Below are 22069 nucleotides of genomic sequence, written 5' to 3' on the forward strand. Positions count from 1 at the left end.
GAACGCGGGGGCTCACGCCTATAATCCCAGCACTTTAGAAGGCTGAGGCAGGCAGATCACTCGAGGTCAGGAGTTTGAGACCAGCCTGGCCAACATGGTAAAATCTCCTCTCTACTAAAAATGCAAAAATTAGCCGGGCATGGTGGCCCACACCTGTAATCCCAGCTACTCGGGAGGCTGAGGCAGGAGAATTGCTTGAACCCGGAGGCAGAGGTTGCAGTGAGCTAAGATCATGCCACTGCACTCCAGCTTAGGCATCAGAGTGAGATCCTGTCTTAAAAAAATAAAAATAAAAAGGACCCAGAAAAAACAGCATTTTGGGGATCCCAAGGATTTTAGGAGTTGTATGCCGGCAAAGAAATGAAGACCAAATACATATTTCCTAATATCACAATGGCACACCCCCACATTTCACCATCTTCACAAACTGTATTCTCCCACCATCTGCCTTCACCATATGAGTAGTAGCAAGAAAAACCACAAGCTCGGGCCAGGTGCAGTGGCTTACACCTATAATCCCAGCACTTTGGGAAGTTGAGGCGGGTGGATCACCTGAGGTCAGGAATTTGAGACCAGCCTGGCCAACATGGCGAAACCCCGTCTCTACTAAAAATACAAAAATTAGCTGGGCGTGGTGGCGCACGCCTGTAGTCCCAGCTACTCGGGAGGCTGAGGTAGGAGAATCGCTTGAACCCAGGAGGCAGAGGTTGCAGTGAGCCGAGATCGTGCCACTGCACTCCAGTCTGGGCAATAGCGTGAGACTGTGTCTCAAAAAAAAAAAAAAAAAAAAAAAAAACAAAACAAAAAACAAAAAACAGAAAAGATAGCATTTTGGAGATCCAAAGGATTTTAGGAGTTGTATGCCAGGAAACAGAAATGAAGACCAAATATATATTTCCTAGTATCACAATGGCCCACCCCCACATTTCACCATCTTCACAAACTATTCTCCCACCATCTGCCTTCACCATTATGAGGAGTAGCAAGAAAACCACAAGCTGTGATTTGTAGAGGTTTAAGGAACTAATCCCTCAAACATCACTCTCCTCTAAATGTTAAGCCTGGAATTCAACCCTTGATGCTGTATTCCCTCATTGGTGGTGCACGCATTCTGTTCTAACCTCAGCTGTTGTACTGTAATTCAGTTCTGGCATTCACTACCTGAAATTGGTGTAGACCCCACAAGTTAAGGGCTTCACAAGAAGGCTGACCCTCACTTTAGACACCAGCTACAATTCAGGCCACCCACACTTCAGACTGGCTAAAAATTTGGGGATCCCTACCACCCCCTGAGGTTTGATAATTTGTTAAAATGACTCACAGAACTCAAGAAAACACTATACCTATAACTACAGTTTTTTGTTTTGTTTTGAGACAGGGTCTTGCTCTGTCACCCAGACTGGAGTGCAGTGGCATGATCATAGCTCACTGCAGCCTTGACCTCCCGGGCTTAAGCAATCCTCCTGCCTCAGCCTCTTAAGTAGCTGGGTCTACAGGCATGAGCTACCCTGTCCAGCTAATTGGTTTATTTTTCGTATAGATGGGAGTCCCACTTTGTTGCCCAGGCTGGTCTCAAACTGATAGGCTCAAGCAATCCTCCAGCCTTGGCTTCCCAAAGTGCTGGGATTACAGGTGTGAGCTACCACACTGGGCCACAACTACAGTTTTGTGAGGTTTTTTGGTTTCTTTCTAAGACAAGTCTCACTCTTTCTCCCAGGCTGAAGTGTAGTGGCGCTATCTCAGCTCACTGCAAACTCCACCTCCCGGGTTCAAGCAATTCTCCTGCCTCAGCCTCCCAAACAGCTGGGATTACAGGTACCTGCCACCACGCCTGGCTAATTTTTGTATTTTTAGTAGAGACAGGGTTTCACCATGTTGGCCAGGCTGGTCTCAAACTCTTGACCTTAAGTGATCCTCCTGCCTCAGTCTCCCAAAGTGCTGGGATTACAGGTGTGAGCCACTGCGCCTAGCCCACAATTACAGTTTTTTTTAATGAAGGATACAAATCTCGACCAGCCAAATGAAGAGATACTTAGGGCAAGATCTGGGAGGGTCTCAAATGCAGAGCTTCCATGCCCCTCCCCATCGAATCAGAGCGTGTCACATTGATGTATTCACCAGCCAAGAAACTCCACTGAGCCCCAGTGTCCAGCTTTTTTATTGGGGTTTCATTACATAAACATGACTAATTAAATAATCAGCTGCATCATTGGTCACATGATTGAACTCCATCTCCAGTCCTGTTGTTGCCCACTGGTAAACTGGCTCAAAGTCCTCTAATCACATGGTTGATCTCTCTGGCAACCAGCCTAGGGACCCACCATGAGTCACTGCAGTAGCATAAACTTCGGTGTGATCCAAGATGCTCCTGAACTGTAAAGATTCTCCTATCACTTGAGAAATTCCAAGTGTTTTTGAAGTTCCATGCCAGGAACCCAGGACAAGACTAAGCAAATTATTTATTGTACAATAAACATGTGCTGCCTTTGCCAGTGCAAATACAGCTAAGCATGCAAGCCACAGAGCCCCTGAGTCTGTCTTTCTCCCTTTCAAGAGGAGACACTGAAGGAAGTAGTGACATTTTGGTTTTTTTTTTTGAAACAAGTTCTTGCTCTATCACCCAGGCTGGAGTGCAGTGGCACAATCATAGCTCACTGCAGCCTCAAATTCCTGGGCTCAAGTGATCCTCCCACTTCAGCCTCCTGAGTAGCTGGGAGTACAGGTGTGTTCCATCACACCCAAGCAAATTTTTTTATCTTCAGTAGAGACAGGTTTCACCATGTTGCCCAGGGTGGTCTTGAACTGCTGGTCTCAAGTGATCCTCCTGCCTTGGCCTCCCAAAGTGCTAGGATTACAGGTGTGAGCCACTGCACCCAGCCATCCAGGATTATTTCTTTTCTCAATATCCTAATCCAAAATCTGGATCACTGAAATTTTGCCTGCCCCAAATGCCAAACTAACTTATTACTACCAGGTTGGAGCTTCCCATCCCCAGCTCCAACCACGTAATGATAAACACATCAGCACCAAATGTAAACTATTGTCTCAATGACATTATAAACCCAAGGACATTGTTAAACAGGATACTCATTTCGTATTCCCCACATCTAGCACCTATTAAACTGCCAAGAACTTACATGGTGCTCAATAAATACTTGTTCAGTTTAATTAACTGGTTAATTTAAATATTAACTATAATGTATCCAATTCAAAAAACCACAAACTTTTAATGAACACTCACTTTAAGCCAAGCTCTTAAGAAATAGCAATGAAAAAAGCATAATCCTTGGCCTCTAGAAGCTGTCAAAGGTAGGGGGAAGACAAAAAAACTAAAACTATTTCATCATAAAATTGAAATTCTATAATAGAAGTAAGAGAAAAGTTCTATGGAAACTTTAAGTAATGAGTGTTTTTGAGTATCAATGTGCGTGTTGTGGGATTGGGAGGTAATAATGTTAAGAATGGAGTTTGTAGAAGAGATGTTTGATCCACCATTAGTTGGTAGTTAGACACCAGCAGAGAAGAAGAAGTAAATTTAGGCAAAGTAAAACTGTGAAAACAAAAGGAAGTTAGGGAGAGGGTCACAAAGGGGACACAGGAAAATTTCAGGATTATGGAATTATTTTTTATGACACTGGGGAAATGTACACAGTTTGCTATGTATTTGTCAAAACCTATAGAACTTAATTTCACAAAGAGTAAACTTCAATGGATGCAGATTAAAAAAAAAAAAAAACAGAAGATGGGGGTATCCCAGAATGAAATGCAGACTGTGACAAAAGGGTCTAAATGTTTTACAAAGTTGTGAAGTGGTTTGGGGAAAAAAGAGCTGATCTAAATAACTTTGGAAAATGCAAGGCTAAAAACAAATGGAAATCTACATAAACACTATACTCCGGTTGGTGAAGTTGTTTCTCATAGGATTATAGGTTAAAATTTCTGAACCTATTTTACATGCATACTGGAGATAAACTAATAAGCAAATAGAGGGTGGATGGTGGGAGATGAGTTTATCACTATTGTCAAGGGAAATTACGGATAAGCAGGAGGGAAGGACTAGACTAAACCATGTGGTGCTGGATTAGAGTCAGAGATATCAGCATGAATTCATGTTTAACTGAATAGGGAAACAAATGGATAAATACAGAAGCTATGGTAGATAGGTTGTATAAACATGGTGATATGGTTTAGCCCTGTGTCCCCACCCAAATCTCATCTTGAATTATACTCCCATAATCCCCACGTGTTGTGGGAGTGACCCAGTGGGAGATAATTGAATTGTGGTGACAGTTTCTCCCATACTGTTCTAGTGGTAGTGAATAAGTCTCACGAGATCTGATGATTTGATAAGGGGAAACCCGTTTCACTTGATGCTCATTCTCTCTCTTCCCTGCTGCGATGTAAGACGTGCCTTTCACCTTCCACCACGATTGTGAGGGCTCCTCAGCCACATGGAATTGTGAGTCGAATTAAAAGTCTTTCTTTTGCAAATTACCCAGTCTCAGGTATGTCCTTATCAGCAGTGTGAAAACGAACTAATACACATGAGTTAGTACACACACATATTTTCTAGTTCTGTCAGCTTTTTGGGCCTAGAGGCAGTGATATCCCTGTAGAAATGAGCACATTAAGTGTTCAGATCTTGGTCTCTAATACCATTCTGCAATAAAAGGAAGCATAGCACCTTGCAGATATGACTGAAGCTAGGGCTGTGGCAGGGAAGATACAAGATGAAACTGAAACTTTTATGGTGCTAGAAAGTAAGAAAGTGGCTGGATGAGGCAGCTCAGGCCTGTAATCCCAACACTTTGGGAGGCTGAAGTGGGCAGATCACTTGAGCTCAGGAGTTCAAGACCTGCCTGGGCAACATGGTGAAATCTCGTCTCTACAAAAAAATACAAAAATTTGCCAGGGTTGGTGGCGTGCACCTGTTGTCCCAGCTACTTGGGGGTGCTGAGGCAGGAGGATCACTTCAGTCTGGGAGGTCAAGGCTGCAGTGAGCCATGTTCATGCCACTGCACTCCAGCCTGGGTGAAAAAGTGAGATCTCATCTCAAAAACAATTTTTTTTTAATTATCCAGAGGCATGCACCTGTAGTCCCAGGCACTTGGAAGGCTGAGGTGGGAGCATCGTTTGAGCCCAGGAGTTCAAGCCTGCAGTGAGCTATCATTGCACCACTGCACTCCAGCCTGGGTGACAGAGCAAGACCCCATCTCAAAATAAACAAAAAAAGAAAGTAAGAAAGGACTCAAAAAACAAAAGGATAGGGCATGTCAAACTCTGAAAGATTCTAAATGGCCAAAGCTGCAACAACTTAAACAACAAAATAAATAGCCTAGTATTGGATTATAACCCAAAGTATACAAGAAACAACCGTGAGTCCATACTGATTGTATTAGTCCATTTCCTCCCCTCCACACATGGGGATTACAAATCAAAATGAGATTTGGGTGGGGACACAGAGCCAAACCATACTACTGATTTAAGTAAACGACTGAATAAAATAATTGTGGGCCTTAGAGACAAATCTTCCTTACAGAAGAATGAAAGAAGTATACAAAGGGGAAAAATCGGCAGGGTGGGTTAGCTCATGCCTGTAATCCCAGCACTTTGGGACACCAAAGTGAAAGGATCACTTGAGCCCAGAAGTTGGAGACCAGCCCGGCAACAGAGTGAGACCCTGTCTCTACAAAGCCTTCTTAAAAATTAGCTGGACGTGATGGCACATGCCTGTAGTCCCAGCTACTTGGGAAGCTGAGGTGGGAGGATCATTTGAGCCTGAGAGGCTGAGGCTTCAGTGAGCAGTAATTACGCCACTACACTCTAGCCTGGGTGAGACAGCAAGTCATGTCTCAAAAAAAAAAAAAAAAAAAAAAAAGAAAAGAAAACGAGGGAGTGGGGAGAAAAATAAGGTAACATTACAGAGAAGAAATCTGGCAAGCAGCAAACACTTCTTTTACCTGATGATCGAGATCAAGGTTAGTATCAGTGATACGTCATGTTAATAGTACATACCTTTCGTGTGATGTGACGAAAATGGAATTTCATCTCTATAGTCTTCCTTCCAAAATCCCAAAGCTCAACCTAGCCATAAGAAAAACATCAGACAAGCCCACACTGAGAGAATTCTACAGAATACCCAGCAGTATTCCTCAAGACTGTCAAGGTTATCAAACACAAGAAAAGACTTGAAAACTGTCACAGATCAGAAGAAACAAAGGACAGATGACAATTCAGTGTAATGTGGTGTCTTGGATGGAATCCTGAAAAAGAAAGAAAACATCAGTGAAAAAAAAAACCTACTGAAATCTGAGAAAGCTGGAAGTTTAGTTAATGGTAATATACCAGTGTTGGTTTCTCAGCTGTAACAAATGTACCATGGTAATGTCAGACTATATATAACTATTCCATTATATAACTATAATGGAAACTAGATGGGGGGAGGTATATGGGAGCTCTCAGAACTAACCCTGAAATGTTTCTATACATCTAAAATTTTTCTAAAACAACAAGGATTTTGTTTGTTTTTAATACAGGACAAATTGAAAAAAGTAAGAAATCTGGCATGGTTAGCATATCAGTTGACTGGCACAATGAGAGGAGATGAGGCTTGATGGTGTTTGGGGTCAGATTCTAGGAGCTCTGTAAACTGTATCAGTTAGGAACATGAGGCCAGCGGTGCTTAACAAGTAAGGGTGTTTTTAGTTACACAATGGGAAGTCTGCAAGTAGGCTCTACTAAGCTGGCAAAGAAACTCTTGTTCTTACCATCATTACTATGTTTTTTTTTCTTTCTTTTTTTTTTTTTTTTTTTGAGACAGAGTCTTGCTCTGTTGCTCAGGCTGGAGTACAGTGGTGTGATCTCGGCTCACTGCAACCTCCACCTCCTGGGTTCAAGCGATTCTCCTGCCTCGGCCTCTCGAGTAGTTGGGATTAGAGGTGCACGCTACCACACCCAGCTAATTTTTGTATTTTTAGTAAAGAACGGGGTTTCGCCATGTTGGCCACGCTCGTCTCGAACTCTTGACCTCAGGTGATCCACCCACCTCAGCCTCCCAAATTTCTGGGATTACAAGCGTGAGCCACCATGTCTGGACACTATATGGTTTTTGTTTGTTTGTTTGTTTTTGTTTTTGTTTCAAACAGGGTCTCACTTCATCACCCAGGCTGGGGTGCAGTGGCATGCTCACAGCTCACTGCAGCCTCAACCTCTAGGCTCAAGAGATCCTCCTGCCTCGGCCTCCCTAGTAGCTGGGACTACAGGTGTACTCCACCACATCCGGCTAATTTTTTAATACTTTTTGTAGAGATGGGGGTTTCACTGTATTGCCCAGGCTGGTCTTAATCTTCTAGGTTCAAGTGATCCTCCTGCCATGGCCTCCAAAAGTGCTGGGATTACAGACGTGAGCCACTGTGGTTTTTGATTTTCATTTTCATAATTGTAAAATGGTCACACTATAGGAGCATTTTTGCAGGAAAAGGAAAAAGTGAATCAGAAAGGACCAAAGGAGCCTGATGGGTGAATCTGTCTCCTCTCTGACACTTTCCCATAAGCCCCACCCTGCACACTTCGACTTCTTCTCATTGGCCAGAAGGGATCACATGGCCATTTCTCTTTTTTATTTAGAGGCAGGGTCTTGCTCTTTTGCCCAGGCTGGAGTGCAGTGGTGTAATCATAGCTGACTGCAGCCTCAACCACCTGGGCTCAAGCAATCCTCCTGTCTCAGCCTCCCAAATAGCTGGGACTACAGGCATGTGCCACCATTCCTGGTGGCTAATTTTTGTATTTTTTTGTAGATACAGAGTTTTGCCATGATGCCCAGGCTGGTCTCGAACTCCTGGGCTCAAACAATCCTCCCACCTTGGCCTTCCAAATTGCTAAGATTCCAGGTGTGAGTCACCGCACCCAACCACATGAATACTCCTTACTGCAAGAAAGCCTAGGAACGCTAATTTTCCTTACTGGACACAATGACTCTCCAAACAAAATCAGTATCCTGTTTGTAAGGAGGAAGAGAGGGATATTGAGAAGTTGACTCTGTAGTAGTATAGTTACACAGGCAGAGATAAATTACTTTTATTTGATCCTATGGGCAGAACGGAGTTTCATACTTTTCTTTTTTTCACTGTGTCACCCAGGCTGGAGTGCAGCAGCCCAATCTCAGCTCACTGCAACTTCTGCCCCCCGGGTTCAAGCAGTTCTTGTTCCTAAGCCTCCTGAGTAGCTGGGATTACAGGTGCGTGTCACCACATCCGGCTCATTTTTGTATTTTTAATAGAGAGGGAGTTTCATCATGTTGGCCAGGCTGGTATCAAACTCCTGATCTCAGATGATCCACCTACCGTGGCCCCCCAAAGTGCTGGGATTACAGGCGTGAGCCACCACAGCCTGTGACTTTTAGACATTTTTAAGCAAAGAAATAACATGATCACACGTTTGTTTTAGAAAGATCACTCTGGCCACTCTATCCATAAGATAGCAAAGCTTTCTTGGATCAAAAATTCCTCTGAAAATCTGAAAATCTAATGATAGCTGTAGATTCTCTCCCCAGGGGGCTTGGCAAGGGGAATGTATATATGCACAGAATTTTCTTTTTCTTTTACTTTTTCTTTTTCTTTTCTTTTTTTTGAGCCAGGGTCTCACTCTGTCACCCAGGCTGGAATGCAGTAGTGCGATTTTGGCTCACTGCAACCTCTGCCTCCCAGATTCAAGCAACTTTCCAGCCTCAGCCTCCCAAGTAGCTGGGATTACAGGTGCTCACCACCACGCTTGGCTAATTTTTGTGTTTTCAGTAGAGATGGGGTTTTGCCATGTTGGCCGGGCTGGTCTCAAACTCCCGACCTCAATGATCCATATATGCACAGAATTTTCTAACCAGTTATAGGATGGACTTCAAACTCTCCGAAGCTCATGGACATCAGGAAATAACTCCCGGCTTACAGGTTAAATCAGAGGGTGAAGAGAAAAGAGGAAGAGGGACCGATTAGGCAGTTTTTGAAGTTGTCTGAAGAGAGGCATAGCAAAGGCTCAAACCACACAGATAGTGTGGAATAGGAATTAGTGGGGAATTGGATTAAAGAGGCAAGGCAGGCCGGGTGCAGTGGCTCATGCCTATAATCCCAGCACTTTGGGAGGCGAAGGCCGGTGGATCATTTGAGGTCTGCAGTTGAAGACCAGCCTGGCTAACATGGCGAAACCCTGCCTCTACTAAAACTACAAAAATTAGCTGGGCATAGTGGCGCATGCCTGTAATCCCACTACCCGGAAGGCTGAGGCAGTAGGATCACTTGAGCCCAGGAGAGAGAGGTTGCAGTGAGCCGAGATCGTGCCACTGCACTCCAGCCTGGGCAACAGAGTGAGACTCTGTCTCAAAAAAAAAAAAAAAAAAAAAAGACACAAGGCTAAGGCAGAAGGATAGCTCGAAGCCAGGAGTTTGAGACCATCCTGAGAAACATAGTGAGACTTCTTAGTCTATTAAAAAAGAAATGTTTTTTTTTGAGACAGGGTCTCACTCTGTTGCCCAGGCTGGAATGCAGTGGTGCAATCACAGTTCACTATAGCCTCAACCTCCTGGGCTCAAGTGATCCTCCCACCTCAACCTCCCAAGTAGCTAGGACTACAGGTATGCACCACCACACCTGGCTAAATTTTTATTTTTGTAGCGACAAAGTCTCACTGTGTTGCCCAGGCTGGTCTCAAACTCCTGGGCTCAAGTGATCCTCCCACCTCTGTCTCCCAAAGTGCTGGGATTACAAGCATGAGCCACTGTACCTGGCCTCACAAAAAAATTTTTTTTAATTAACCAGGCTCACCTGTGGTCCCAGCTACTCAGTAGGCTGAAACAGGGGAATCTCTTGAGCCCAGGAGTTGGAGGCTGCAGTGAGCTATGATCACACCACTGCACTCCAGCCAGAGCAATAGAACAAGACCCTGTCTTTCAAATTAAAGAAAGAGAGAGACAATCAACAGGACTCAGTGTTTAATTAGAAAGGTTATTTAGATTGGTTGGGAGAATTAAAGAAGTCAAAGATTACTGAGATGCAGTAGCTCAAGCCTGCAAACCCAGTACTTTGGGAGGCTGAGGAGGGAGGACTGCTTGAGCCCAGGAGTTCGAGACCCAGCTTGACAACATAGTGAGACCCACCCCCCATCTCCACAACAAACAAAAATACTAGCCTCTCATGGTAGTACACTCCCATGGTCCCAGCTACTCAGGAGGCTGAGATGGGAGGATCACTTGGGTCCAGAAGGTTGAAGCTGCCATGAGCCATGATCTGTACTCCAGTCTGGGCAACACAGACCCTGTCTCAAAAACAAACAAACAACAATGACAAAAAAACAGGCCGGGCGCAGTGGCTCATGTCTGTAATCCCAACACTTTGGGAGGCCGAGGCAGGTGAATCACTTGAAGCCAGGAGTTCAAAACCAGCCTGGCCAACATGGCGAAACCCTGTCTCTACCAAAAAAGACAAAAATTAGCCAGGCATGGTGGCACACGCCTATAATCCCAGCTACTGGGGAGGCTGAGGCATGAGAATCACTTGAACCTGGGAGGCAGAGGTTGCAGTAAGCTTACATCAAGCCACTGCACTCCAGCCTGGGTGATAGAGAGAGACTGTCTCAAAAAAAAAAAAAAAAAAAAGATTACTGAATATTTTAATCTTAAGTAACTGAAAGGATGGTTATGCTGGTAACCAAACAAGGACTATGGGAGAAGCTCTAAGGGGAAGGATCATGACTGTAGCTTGAACCTGCTGAGTGTAGCGGGCCTGAAGTATATCCAGGTGCCACCTCACAGCAGGTAAAAGGAATTCCAGACCTGACCTCAGTAGAGACACGGGACTGAAGCAGTGAGAGCACACCAAGTACTCGCCAATCTACTCACATTCAAAACATTGCAAAATGCTAGAGTCTTCCCATTCCTGTATTCAGTTCAAAACTATTTCATGGGTAAGCACATTTCTGGAAAAAGAAAAAACAACTATTTCAAGCATGATGATAAACTTCTCTCAATACAAAACTCCTTTTTGTTTTTTTTTGAGGCAGAGTCTTGCTCTGTCGCCCAGGCTGGAGTACAGTGGTGCGATCTCAGCTCACTGCAACTTCTGCCTCCAGGTTCAAGTGATTCTCCTGCCTCAGCCTCCCAAGAAGCTGGGACTACAGGCGAGCCCTACCATAGCCAGCTGATTTTTTGTATTTTTAGTAGAGACGGGGTTGCACCATGTTACCCAAGCTGATCTTGAACTCCTGAGTTCAGGCAATCTGCCCATCTCGGCCCCCCAAAGTGCTAGGATTACAGGCGTGAGCCACCATGACCAGTCACAAAGCTCCTTTTAAAAATTATTATGTGACCTACGAGAAATAAAAGTGTTCCAGCCATCTCAAGTTTCAGTCCTGAAATTAGAATTTGCTTCTTCTGAGAAACAGTGAACTTTACATGTCCAAAGTCAAATCAACCTCTTGGATGACGAATCTTATAATCACACTTAAATAATGGCTCAGCAAAGCGTTGTAGGATAAGTTAGTGTAAAAAAAAAAGCAAATTAGAAATCACTTGAGGAGGAGGACAACATCGTGGTTAAGAGGACAGGCATTGGTAACAGGCTGAACTAGATACAGATCCTGAGTTCACCACTGACTAGCAGTCTGATCCTAGGCAACTTACTAAATCTCTCACATCCTCCATTTCCTAGTCTGCAAAATTAGGTTTAAAAAAATAGCTGGACCAGGCTCAGTGGCTCATACCTGTAATCCCACCACTTTGGGAGGCTGAGGTGGGCAGATCACCTGAGGTCAGGAGTTGGAGACCAGCCTGGCCAACGTGGTGAAACCCTGTCTCTACTACAAATACAAAAATTAGCCGGGCGTGGTGGTGGGCACCTGTAATCCCAGCTACTCTGGAGGCTGAGTCAGGACTTGAATCTGGGAGGCAGAGGTTGCTGTGAGCAGAGATGGCACCATTCCACTCCAGCCTGGGTGACAAGAGTGAGACTCCATCTAAAAAAAAACTAGCCAAGACTGATGCCTCACACCTGTAATCCCAACACTTTGGGAGGCTGAGAGGATCACTTGAGCCCAGGAGTTCGAGACCAGCCTGGGCAACATAGTGAGACTCCATCTCTACAGATAAAAAATTTTAAAAATTAGCTGGGTATGGTGGTACATCCCTGTAGTCTCAGCTACTCGGGAAGCCAAGACAGGAGGATTGCTTGAGCCCCAGAGTGGGAGGCCACAGTGAGCTATGATCGTACCACTGCACTCCAGCCTGGGTGACAGAGCCAGACTCTGCCTGAAAAAAATTAAAATAAATAAATAAAAATAGTGCATATATATAGTACCCCACAGAAGAGTTATTGTGAGAAATGAATGAGCTATAATGTCTGGCATGCACTAAGTCCTTAAATAAGTGTTTATTCATAGTGGTAGCAGTCTGGTAGTAGTAGTAGTATTTGCATACTTAGTATGATAGAGAATTATGATATGCAGGAAACTAAGTTTCTTGAATTAGTGCAGAAATGTTTTTAGTTACACAGTCACTCATCAGCTTGCCAAGACCGTACAATATTTTACAGTAAATAAGTAATAAAACATTGAATTAATTCATTTTGTCACCAGTTTATGACTTTAGGGAAAAGCAGGCTGGTTTACAAGAGGAAAAAAAGTGAATTGGTTATTTCTTTTTATTTATTTTTTCAGAAAGCTAGCATTTTTAAACCCTCATTTTGAAAGGAAAAGTCAGTCTCGCGGCAGTGGTTTTCCCCACTTTTGTAGAAAAACAAGGGTTTGTTTGTTTTTTTTTTTGAGACAGAGTTTCGCTCTGTCACTCAGGCTGGAGTGCAGTGGCCCGATCTCAGCTCACTGCAACCTCAATCTCCCAGTTTCAAGCAATTCTCCTGTCTCAGCCTCCCGAGTAGCTGGGATTACAGGCGCGCACCATCACGCCCAGCTAATTTTTGTATTTTTAGTAGAGATGGGGTTTCACCATGTTGGCCAGGCTAGTCTCCAACTCCTGACCTCAGGTGATCCGCCCGCCTCAGCCTCCCAGAGTGCTGGGATTACAGGCGTGAGCCACCCTGCCTGGCCAAAACAGGGCTTTCTTAACTTCCAAGAAGGGCTCCAAAAGGAAGCTAAGGTGATGCAGGCAGTGTAGCCACGGACTTTCTGCAAAAAACTTGATGATCTAGTCAGGCCAAACAGAAAGAAATGCTGTAGGCAAGATTACCCCGTTTGTAAAACATCAGCAGAAACAAATCCCACCTATTTACAGGATGACATGTGATGGAAGCACAATGGAGTCAGCTCTCTTTACAACAAAAGTTTAAAGGCAGTTACCTTGCAGGCAAAGAAAGAACATGTAATTAATTAATGCCAGAGATTGTTGTCCATAATGAAGAAGACACAATGTACCGCCATTAGCCTCATTTGCATTCGATTCAGAAGACTCTTCTCATGCAAACACACCCGTTTTATTTTAGATTATTATTTAGGTGATGGATTAAAACCAGGAAGCTTGAACATAGCAAGAAACATTTTCTTCCAGTGCCTTTCACACATATCCAGTTTGGCATTCTGCACATTGTAGGCAGCTGAGAACAGTTGAAGATTTTGACCTTGAGATGAGTAATTAGAAGAGAAATCAATTCTAAATCATGAATGTCAACAAATACTTTAAAATATTATAATTGATTTTGGTCGGGCGTGGTGGCTCGTGCCTGTAATCCCAGCACTTTGGGAGGTTGAGGTGGGTGGATCACTTGATGTCAGGAGTTCGAGACCAGCCTGGCCAACATAGTGAAATCCCGTCTCTACTAAAAATACAAAAATTAGCTGGGCGTGGTGGCACATGCCTGTAATCCCAGCTACTCAGGAGGCTGAAGCAGGAGAATTGCTTGAACCTGGGAGGCAGAGGTTGCAGTGAGCTGAGATGGCGCCACTGTACTCCAGCCTGGGCGACAGACCAAGACTCCGTCTCAAAAAAAGAAAAAAAAAAAGATTTCATAGATGGAGGACAAAATAGAGCAAGGATTAAAAGCCACTCAATAGCTGCAAAATTGTGGACGCCTGAGCCTGGAATTCATTATCTGCAAAGTGGGAATATCATAACAGGGCCTACACTATGAACTTGTTCCCAGGATTGAGAGCTTTTGCATCATACTCTGCCCAGGAACTGAAAAAAACATAAGCAATCAATAAATAGTCCTGTTTATATTGGGTTGGTGCAAAAGTGATTGCAGTTTTTGCAATTTACTTTTAATGGCAAAAACCGCAGTGACTTTTGCACCAACCTATAATATTAGTCCTCTTTGGAAATAATTAGAAAATAGCCCTCAGGGGTTGCTGTAGTGGGGGTTAAATTTCTCCTCTACTCTCCTAGGATCTCCAGCTGGGCCTTAGAATTACACTGACATAAAACACATTAACAGGACCAAAGCCTGCAAATTCTATTTAATAATTTTTACATACATGGGAGGCTACGCAAGAAAAATCAAGACCCAAAGGAGTTAGGGTCTGTGGACTCAGAAAATCTGAGACAGGTCTCAGTTAATTTAGAAAGTTTTTTTTGCCAAGGCTGAGGACACACGTCTGTGACAGCCTCAGGAGGTCCCGATGACACATGCCCAAGATGGTCGGGGCACAGCTTGGTTATATACATTTTAGGGAGCCATTGGTTCGGTCTGGAAAGACGGATGCATCGTTTTTTTGTTTTGTTTTGTTTTGATATGGAGTCTTGCTCTGTCGCCCAGGCTGGAGTGCAGTGGCGCGATCTCGGCTCACTGCAAGCTCTGCCTCCCAGGTTCACGCCATTCTCCTGCCTCAGCCTCCCAAGTAGCTGGGACTACAGGCGCCCACCACCATGCCCGGCTAATTTTTTGTATTTTTAGTAGAGACGGGGTTCCACCGTGTTAGCCAGAATGGTCTCAATCTCCTGACCTCGTGATCCGCCCGCCTTGGCCTCCCAAAGTGCTGGGATTACAGGCGTGAGCCACCACGCCCGGCCAGTTGCATTCTTTTGAGTTTCTGATTAACGTTTCCAAAGGAGGCAATCAGATACGCATTTATCTCAGTGAGCAGAAGGATAACTTTGGATAGAAAGGGAGGCAGGCTTTATCCGAAGCAGTTCCCAGCTCAAATTTTCCCTTTAGCTTGGTGATTTTGGGGGCCCAAGATATTTTTCTTTCACAGGCCCAAAATTTATACATTAGGTTTGACAAAAAAGTAGTAAATTGTGAAAATGTGACAAGAAAAAGTGGTTTACTTGGGCCAGGGTAGTTAATTGTGGAAAAGTAACCAGGAAGATAAGGGTTCATTTAGCAAGGTTTGTTTGTATGAGTTTCTCTCAGCCTCAACTCTCCACCTCTAGTGATGACTGTCTTCCTCCTGGTACAGAAAGGGCACCTTTCACACAGTTTTACCTCCTACTTTAATAAAGAAGAAAAAAGGAAGATCAGAGTGTGTCATTACATCTGCAGTTTTTTCAAGTGCCTTTAATTCAAAATAATCAATATACCAAAGTGGTCTATTTTGGGGGGAACATATTCTGACATCCTTTATTGCTTTCACACATGGGGTACAACCCAAGTCAAAGGCAATAAGTATACTTAAGATAAACATCAGACAGAGAAAGGATCCCCTTTTAGGGTCCTGCAGGGTCCCAAGCATGGAAATAAAGGAAAATCTTGAATTCCATCCAGGGAAATTCCAGGCACCTAGCTTACCCTGAGAAGTAAATGAACAACTTGGTAAGTAAGCAAGAAGGTAATGGTAGCTTAAAACAATAGCCAAGGAAGTTAGAGTCTGGAGATGTTTGGTTTCCTATAGAAACTAAACATAACATTTTAGCATATGTCCCTGAGTTGTTTTTCAGAAACCCGGACCCCCACACAATGGATCTGCTGGCACACAGATCTCAGATAAGGAGAAACTGAGGCCTGAACTCTAACCTCCGTTTTTTTGCTCTAAACTTCTTCCTGAGGAGCTTGGAGGCAGTCACACGCACGAACCAGAGCTAACATTCTTTTCTGCTGATCCCAATTTTTTAGACAAAGCTTTGCCTCCTGAATCAATCGCAAGTCAAAAAGTCCTTGAATCCATCTATGACGTGTGGGCCTCCTGCTTTGAGAGATATCCTGTCTTTTTAGGTCAAACCAATGTATAGCCTCCATTTATTTATTTATTTATTTATTTATTTATTTATTTATTTAGAGATGGAGTTTCGCTCTTGCCTCCCAGGCTGGAGTGCAATGGTGCAATCTCGGCTCACTGCAACCTCCACCTCCTGGATTCGAGTGATTCTCCTGCCTCAGACTCCCAAGTAACTGGGATTACAGGAGCCTGCCACCATGCCCAACTAATTTTTGTATTTTTAGTAGAGAAGGGGTTTCTCCATGTTGGTTAGGTGGGTCTCGAACTCCTGACCTCAGGTGATCCACACGACTTGGCCTCCCAAAGTGCTGGCAGTATAGGAGTGAGCCACCGCACCTGACCTCCATGTATTGATTTATGATTTTGCCTGTAGCTTCTGCTTTCTTGGAAATTACCCCTGCCTTTAAAAACCCTTATCTGCAAGCCATCCGCAAGTTCAGGTCTTAAGCATGAGCTGCCCTGATTCTCCTTGCTTTGTACCTGCAAATAAGCAACTCCCTCTATGCCAATGCAAAACCCCAGTGTGGATATCTGGTCTTACTGTGCCGGGCAAGCAGACCCCAGTTTGGTTCTGAGAGACAGGACTAGCTGGATTTCCTAGGCCGACTAAGAATTCCTAAACCTAACACTGGGGAATGTGACCGCACCTACCTTTAAACACGGGGCTTGTAACTCAGCTCACACCCAACCAATCAGGTAGTAAAGAGGGCTCACTAAAATACAAATTAGGCTAAAGCAGGAGGTAAAGAAATAGTCAAATCATATATCGCCAGACAGCACAGTGGGAGGGACAGTGATCGGGATATAAACCCGGGCATTTGAGCAGGGAGCGGCAACCCCCTTTGGGTCCCCTCCCATTGTATGGGAGCTCTGTTTTCACTCTATTAAATCTTGCAACTGCACACTCTTCCGGTCAGTGTTTGTTACCGCTCGAGCTGAGTTTTCGCTCACCGTCCACCACCGCTGTTTGCCGCCATCGCAGACCCACAGCTGACTTCCACCCCTCCAGATCCGGCAGGGCGTCCGCTGGGCTACTGATCCAGCGAGGCGCCCATTGCCGCTCCCCATGGGGCTAAGGGCTCTCCATTGTTCCTGCGCGGCTAAGTGCCCTGGTTCATCCTAATTGAGCTGAACACTAGTCCCTGGGTTCCATGGCTCTCAGTGACCCATGGCTTCTAATAGAGCTGTAACACTTACTGCATCGCCCAAGGTTCCATTCCTTGGAATCCGTGAGGCCAAGAACCCCAGGTCAGAGAACAAAAGGCTTGCCGCCATGTTGGGAGTGGTCCGCTGCCATCTTGGGAGCTCTAAGAACAAAGACCTGCCGGTAACAGTTCTATAACAAGAACTGCCTTGCAAGGTAGGAACTCTGGTTATATATCCATTTTACCCATGAGGAAACTGAGATGAAGAGAGGTTAAATGACTTGCCTAAGGGCACACAGAACCAGAATTTGAACCCAACTTCCTCTGCACTATTCCATGACTATTTCTGTTGGAACGGGGCTTGAAGGTACTAATGATATATTTCCCACTGTCTGCAAAACTTTCAGGGCAAGGAAGAAGGGGTGGATTTGGGAACGGAATAGGTCATCAGGAGCCATTTTAGAACCCTCCACAAAGATAGCTAATAGGATCCCTGTGGGATCAAAGACAAAGCTCAATGACCCTCAGCCCCAAAGATCCACAGACAGCCAGGGTTCTAAAGCTGCCCAGACAAGGGCAGAGAAAAGAAGCCCAGGAGAAAAAAGATGGGGCTGTCTGGAACTCAGCCCATTCCTAGCCTAAAGGTGGAAGGAAAGGCTGGGCGCGGTGGCTCACGCCTGTAATCCCAACACTTTGGGAGGCTGAGGCAGGTGCATCACATGAGATCAGGTGTTCAAGACCAGTCTGGGCAACAGGCAAAATCCCGTCTCTTCAAAAAATTAACTGGACATGGTCACACACACCTGTAGTCCCAGCTACTCAAAAGGCTAAGCAGGGAGGATGTCTTGAGCCTGGGAGGGGAGGTTGCAGTGAGCTGAGAAAGTGCCACTGCACTCCAACCTGGGTGATGGAGCAAGACCCTGTCTCAAAAAAAAGGGGGGGGAGGGGGAGGACAGATAATATTGTGCATTAGGGTCATTGTAATACATGATTTTCTTTTTCTTTTTTCTTTTTTTTTCTTTTTTTTTTTTGAGACAGAATTTTGCTCTTGTCTCCCAGGCTGGAGTGCAATGGCACGATCTCAGCTCACCGCAACCTCCACCTCCTGGGTTCAAATGATTCTCCTACCTGAGCCTCCCAAGTAAGTAGCTGAGATTACAGGTGTGCGCCACCACATCTGGCTAATTTTTGTACTTTTAGTAGAGATGGGGTTTCACCATGTTGGCCAAGCTGGTCTTAAACTCCTGACCTCAAGTAATTCACCCACCTCGTCCTCCCAAAGTGCTGGGATTATGGGCGTGAGCCACCACGGCCGGCCCATTGTAATACATGAATTTCATGAAGGATTTTTCTCAAACCATATTTTTATCTGGTTACACAAGTAATACATATTTATTAGAATTATCTTGGGAAATATACACAAGTAAAAATAATACCACCACCAGACACAACCACATTTAATAGTCTGATGTATTCATTTCTGTTTTGTTTTATCTAAATACATACATTTTAATACCAAAAAATGCTATTATCCTGTTCTTGCTATTCTGTAGCCTGCTTTTCCAGGTAATATTTCATTCACCTTTTCCCAAAGCATGAGTGTTTCCCCCTGAGTTCCATTTAACAACTGCAGTTCCCCCTGAGCACATTTAACAACTGCAGGTACAGTAGGTCCCCAGCTTTGCACATGTATTCGGACTTACTTAAACAGTCTAATTTTGAGATGTCAGGGTGGCTTCTAGATTTTTTTTGCTATTATGAACAATGCTTCTTGTACAAACATATTTACCAAAGTCATGATTATCTCCCTAGAATAAATTCCTAGATGAAACTGCTAGGCCAAACGACATGCTTGTTTTCAAGGCTTAAATGAATTCTGCCAAATGTATTGAATTGAAATGAACACTGCACTTCAGTAAAGATGCTCTGATTTATATTCCCACTAGCAATGTATGAGGATGCTCTCTTCAAAACCAAGGTGTGAAAAGCTGCTTGGTTATTGAATGCTAGCAGCTCTGTTAATGTAGATTAATAGTTAAAATACAACTAGATTAGAGCAAGAACAAGTCTGTTCTGTCCTCTCTAAAGGGTTTACTCACCTACCTCCCGGGTTTTTTTGCTTTTGTTTTTGTTTTTGTTTTTGAGACAGGATCTCATTCTTTCGCCCAGGCTGGAGTGCAGTGGCACAGCCTCGACTTACTGCAGTGTTGACCTCCTGGGCTCAAGCAATCCTCCCACCTCAGCCTCCCAAGTAGTTGGGACCACAGGCATATGCCACCATGCCCAGCTAATTTTTGTATTTTTTGTAGAGATGGGGTTTCACCATGTTGCCTAGGCTGGGCTCAAGCGATCCGCTCTACTTAGTCTTCCGAAGTGTTGGGATTACAAGTAGGAGCCACCGCACCAGGCCCCTTTCTTCTTCCTATATCTTTATTACTTCGGATAAAAAGAACAGCCCTAATTCTATCATTGGTTTACACAGGAAACAATGGTACCCACTTCCTATAGGACGCTGGGTGCTGCTGAGGTAATCCATTATCTAGATTTTATCTAACTTTGTAAATTCTTATCCTTTTAAAGGCATGTTGCTAATTAAGGGAACATTACTTTGAAGGTAAGAACTCTATTGACATATTAAACAACAGGACTCCTGGACAAATCACCCATCAGCTCCAAGAATCCCTCTTCCTGGATAACTACTTTAACTATCTGACACTATATAAAAATTCACATCTTAAATCACAACAGGGGCTGGGCATGGTGGCTCAAGCCTGTAATCCCAGCCCTTGGGGAGGCTGAGGTGGGCGGATAGCTTGAGCTCAGGAGTTGGAGACTAGCCTGGGCAACATGGCGAAACCCCATCTCTACAAAATAAAAAAATACAAAAATTAGCCTGGCGTGGTGGCATGCATCTGTAGTCCCAGCTATTCAGGAGGCTGAGGCAGGGGGATGGCTTGAACCTGGGAGGCAGAGGTGGTAGTGAACTGAGATTGCACCACTGCACTCCAGCCTGGGCGACAGAGTGAGACCCTATCTCAAATAAATAAATAAAATAAAATAAAATAAAATCCCAGCAGGTATGACCTCTTTGGGTTCCTTTACTGATAAGAAAGACTCTTTGATTCCAAAAGCCTAAAAAGTCCAGGATCATAGTAAGGAAGGATTGGAAGCTACTGATCAAATACTTGGTGGAGTTCCAGGATCAATCTATTTCCAGTGTGTTGCAGAAAAGTTAATTTATGGCAGAAAACCATGATTAATTTCAGAATAAACAATATTCAGACTCAAAGTGAGTTATGAGTTACTGGAGAGAGGAGGCACATTTAGTAGAACATGACTTATTCAGACATGTAATTCTTTCCTTAGCTCAGTAAAGCTAAGTATGGCAAAAATGCCAGAAACAGCTTTGCAATGGGAATATGCAATTTAAAATAAGTAAAGATTATTCCCAGGTAGTTTATTGCTTTAACTACATTGAGGCATGTCCCTGTAGCAGACAGCATAATGGCTCTCATTTCATTTTTGGTTTGTGCCAAATATCTTCAGTTAGTTTTGCTTTATTGGCTTCATGCAATTTATTGCAGCTCTAGAATGCGATTGTAATGCAACTAGTATTTTAGTTTTATCTTCCACTGGTAATTTTTCTTCTTTATGGTAACTATACTGTCTGCATTAATACAAGCCATAGAAATTATACAGTGTGGAACCTTGTTTTCAGCAGCTTCCTCTCTCATGAAGAGCAGAACCACAAGAGCCAACTCCCATAACCCAGTGATAGCCAAGGATGTGCCAGGGGATGACATAATGAACAGCATTTGCAATTCAGTAAAGTGTTTTATTTGATGAAGAGTTGCTAGAAAGCCTAATTTTCTCATTGATTCAAAAAGAGGCAAGATGTTCTTCAAGATCTTCTAAGTATTCCTCAAATCAATCCCTGGAATACAAACCCAGTAGCCAAGGTGGCAGCATTTGGGGAAGATGAGGACTCTTCTGTTATTCTTTGAAAATACATTTATTTAGCCTGGTTTGCATTTATTGATTTGACCAACCTTAGAACAGCACTGTAATCTGCTAAGGAATTATTTAACCATTTCCAATTTCCTGAAAGTTGCGTAAGTGATGTGCTAAATGTAATTTTACCTATAGCTAGCCCAGATCAATAATACACATCATTTCCTTAGGGGGTGGTTTTCTGTGAAAAGATGGAAGAGGACTCAATCTTCCAGTCCTCAGAACTTCTTATTCTAGGCACCTTTGCAGAGCTGGTACAATAAAGAAACCAAATTAAGGCAGATAAATCATTTGGGCCCTCCTGAAAACATATTTCTCAACTTTTGTCCTTGTATCCTGCCAAAATTTTGCTGAGTAATTCATCCCACAGGCTATGGTGTATGTCTTTTTTTTTTCTATAGAGATAGGGTCTCACTACATTGCCCAGGCTGATCTGGTCCTCCTGGGCTCAAGTGATCCTCCCACCTTGGCCTCTCAAAGTGCTGGTATTGCAGGCATGAGCCACCATGCCTGGCCTAAGGTGTATATCTTAAAGGATCCCCTATTAAAATCCATATTTCCAGGGAGGTGTAACACAGCAAACTATTATCAGTCATTACTTTTTAATAAAATGACATCATTAACTTGATGTAAAAATACATAGCAGAGCTATGATAGAATAGCTCTGAAGGAGGATAGGATACTTATGTTTTGAGTGCAGAAGGAAATATAGGATACTTACGGGATACTTAGGTTTTGAGTGCAGAAGTGAAAATTCAAAACATGAGCTT

The sequence above is a fragment of the Homo sapiens genome, chromosome 7 (assembly GCF_000001405.40).
Source record: "Homo sapiens chromosome 7, GRCh38.p14 Primary Assembly".
Taxonomy (NCBI): domain Eukaryota; kingdom Metazoa; phylum Chordata; class Mammalia; order Primates; family Hominidae; genus Homo; species Homo sapiens.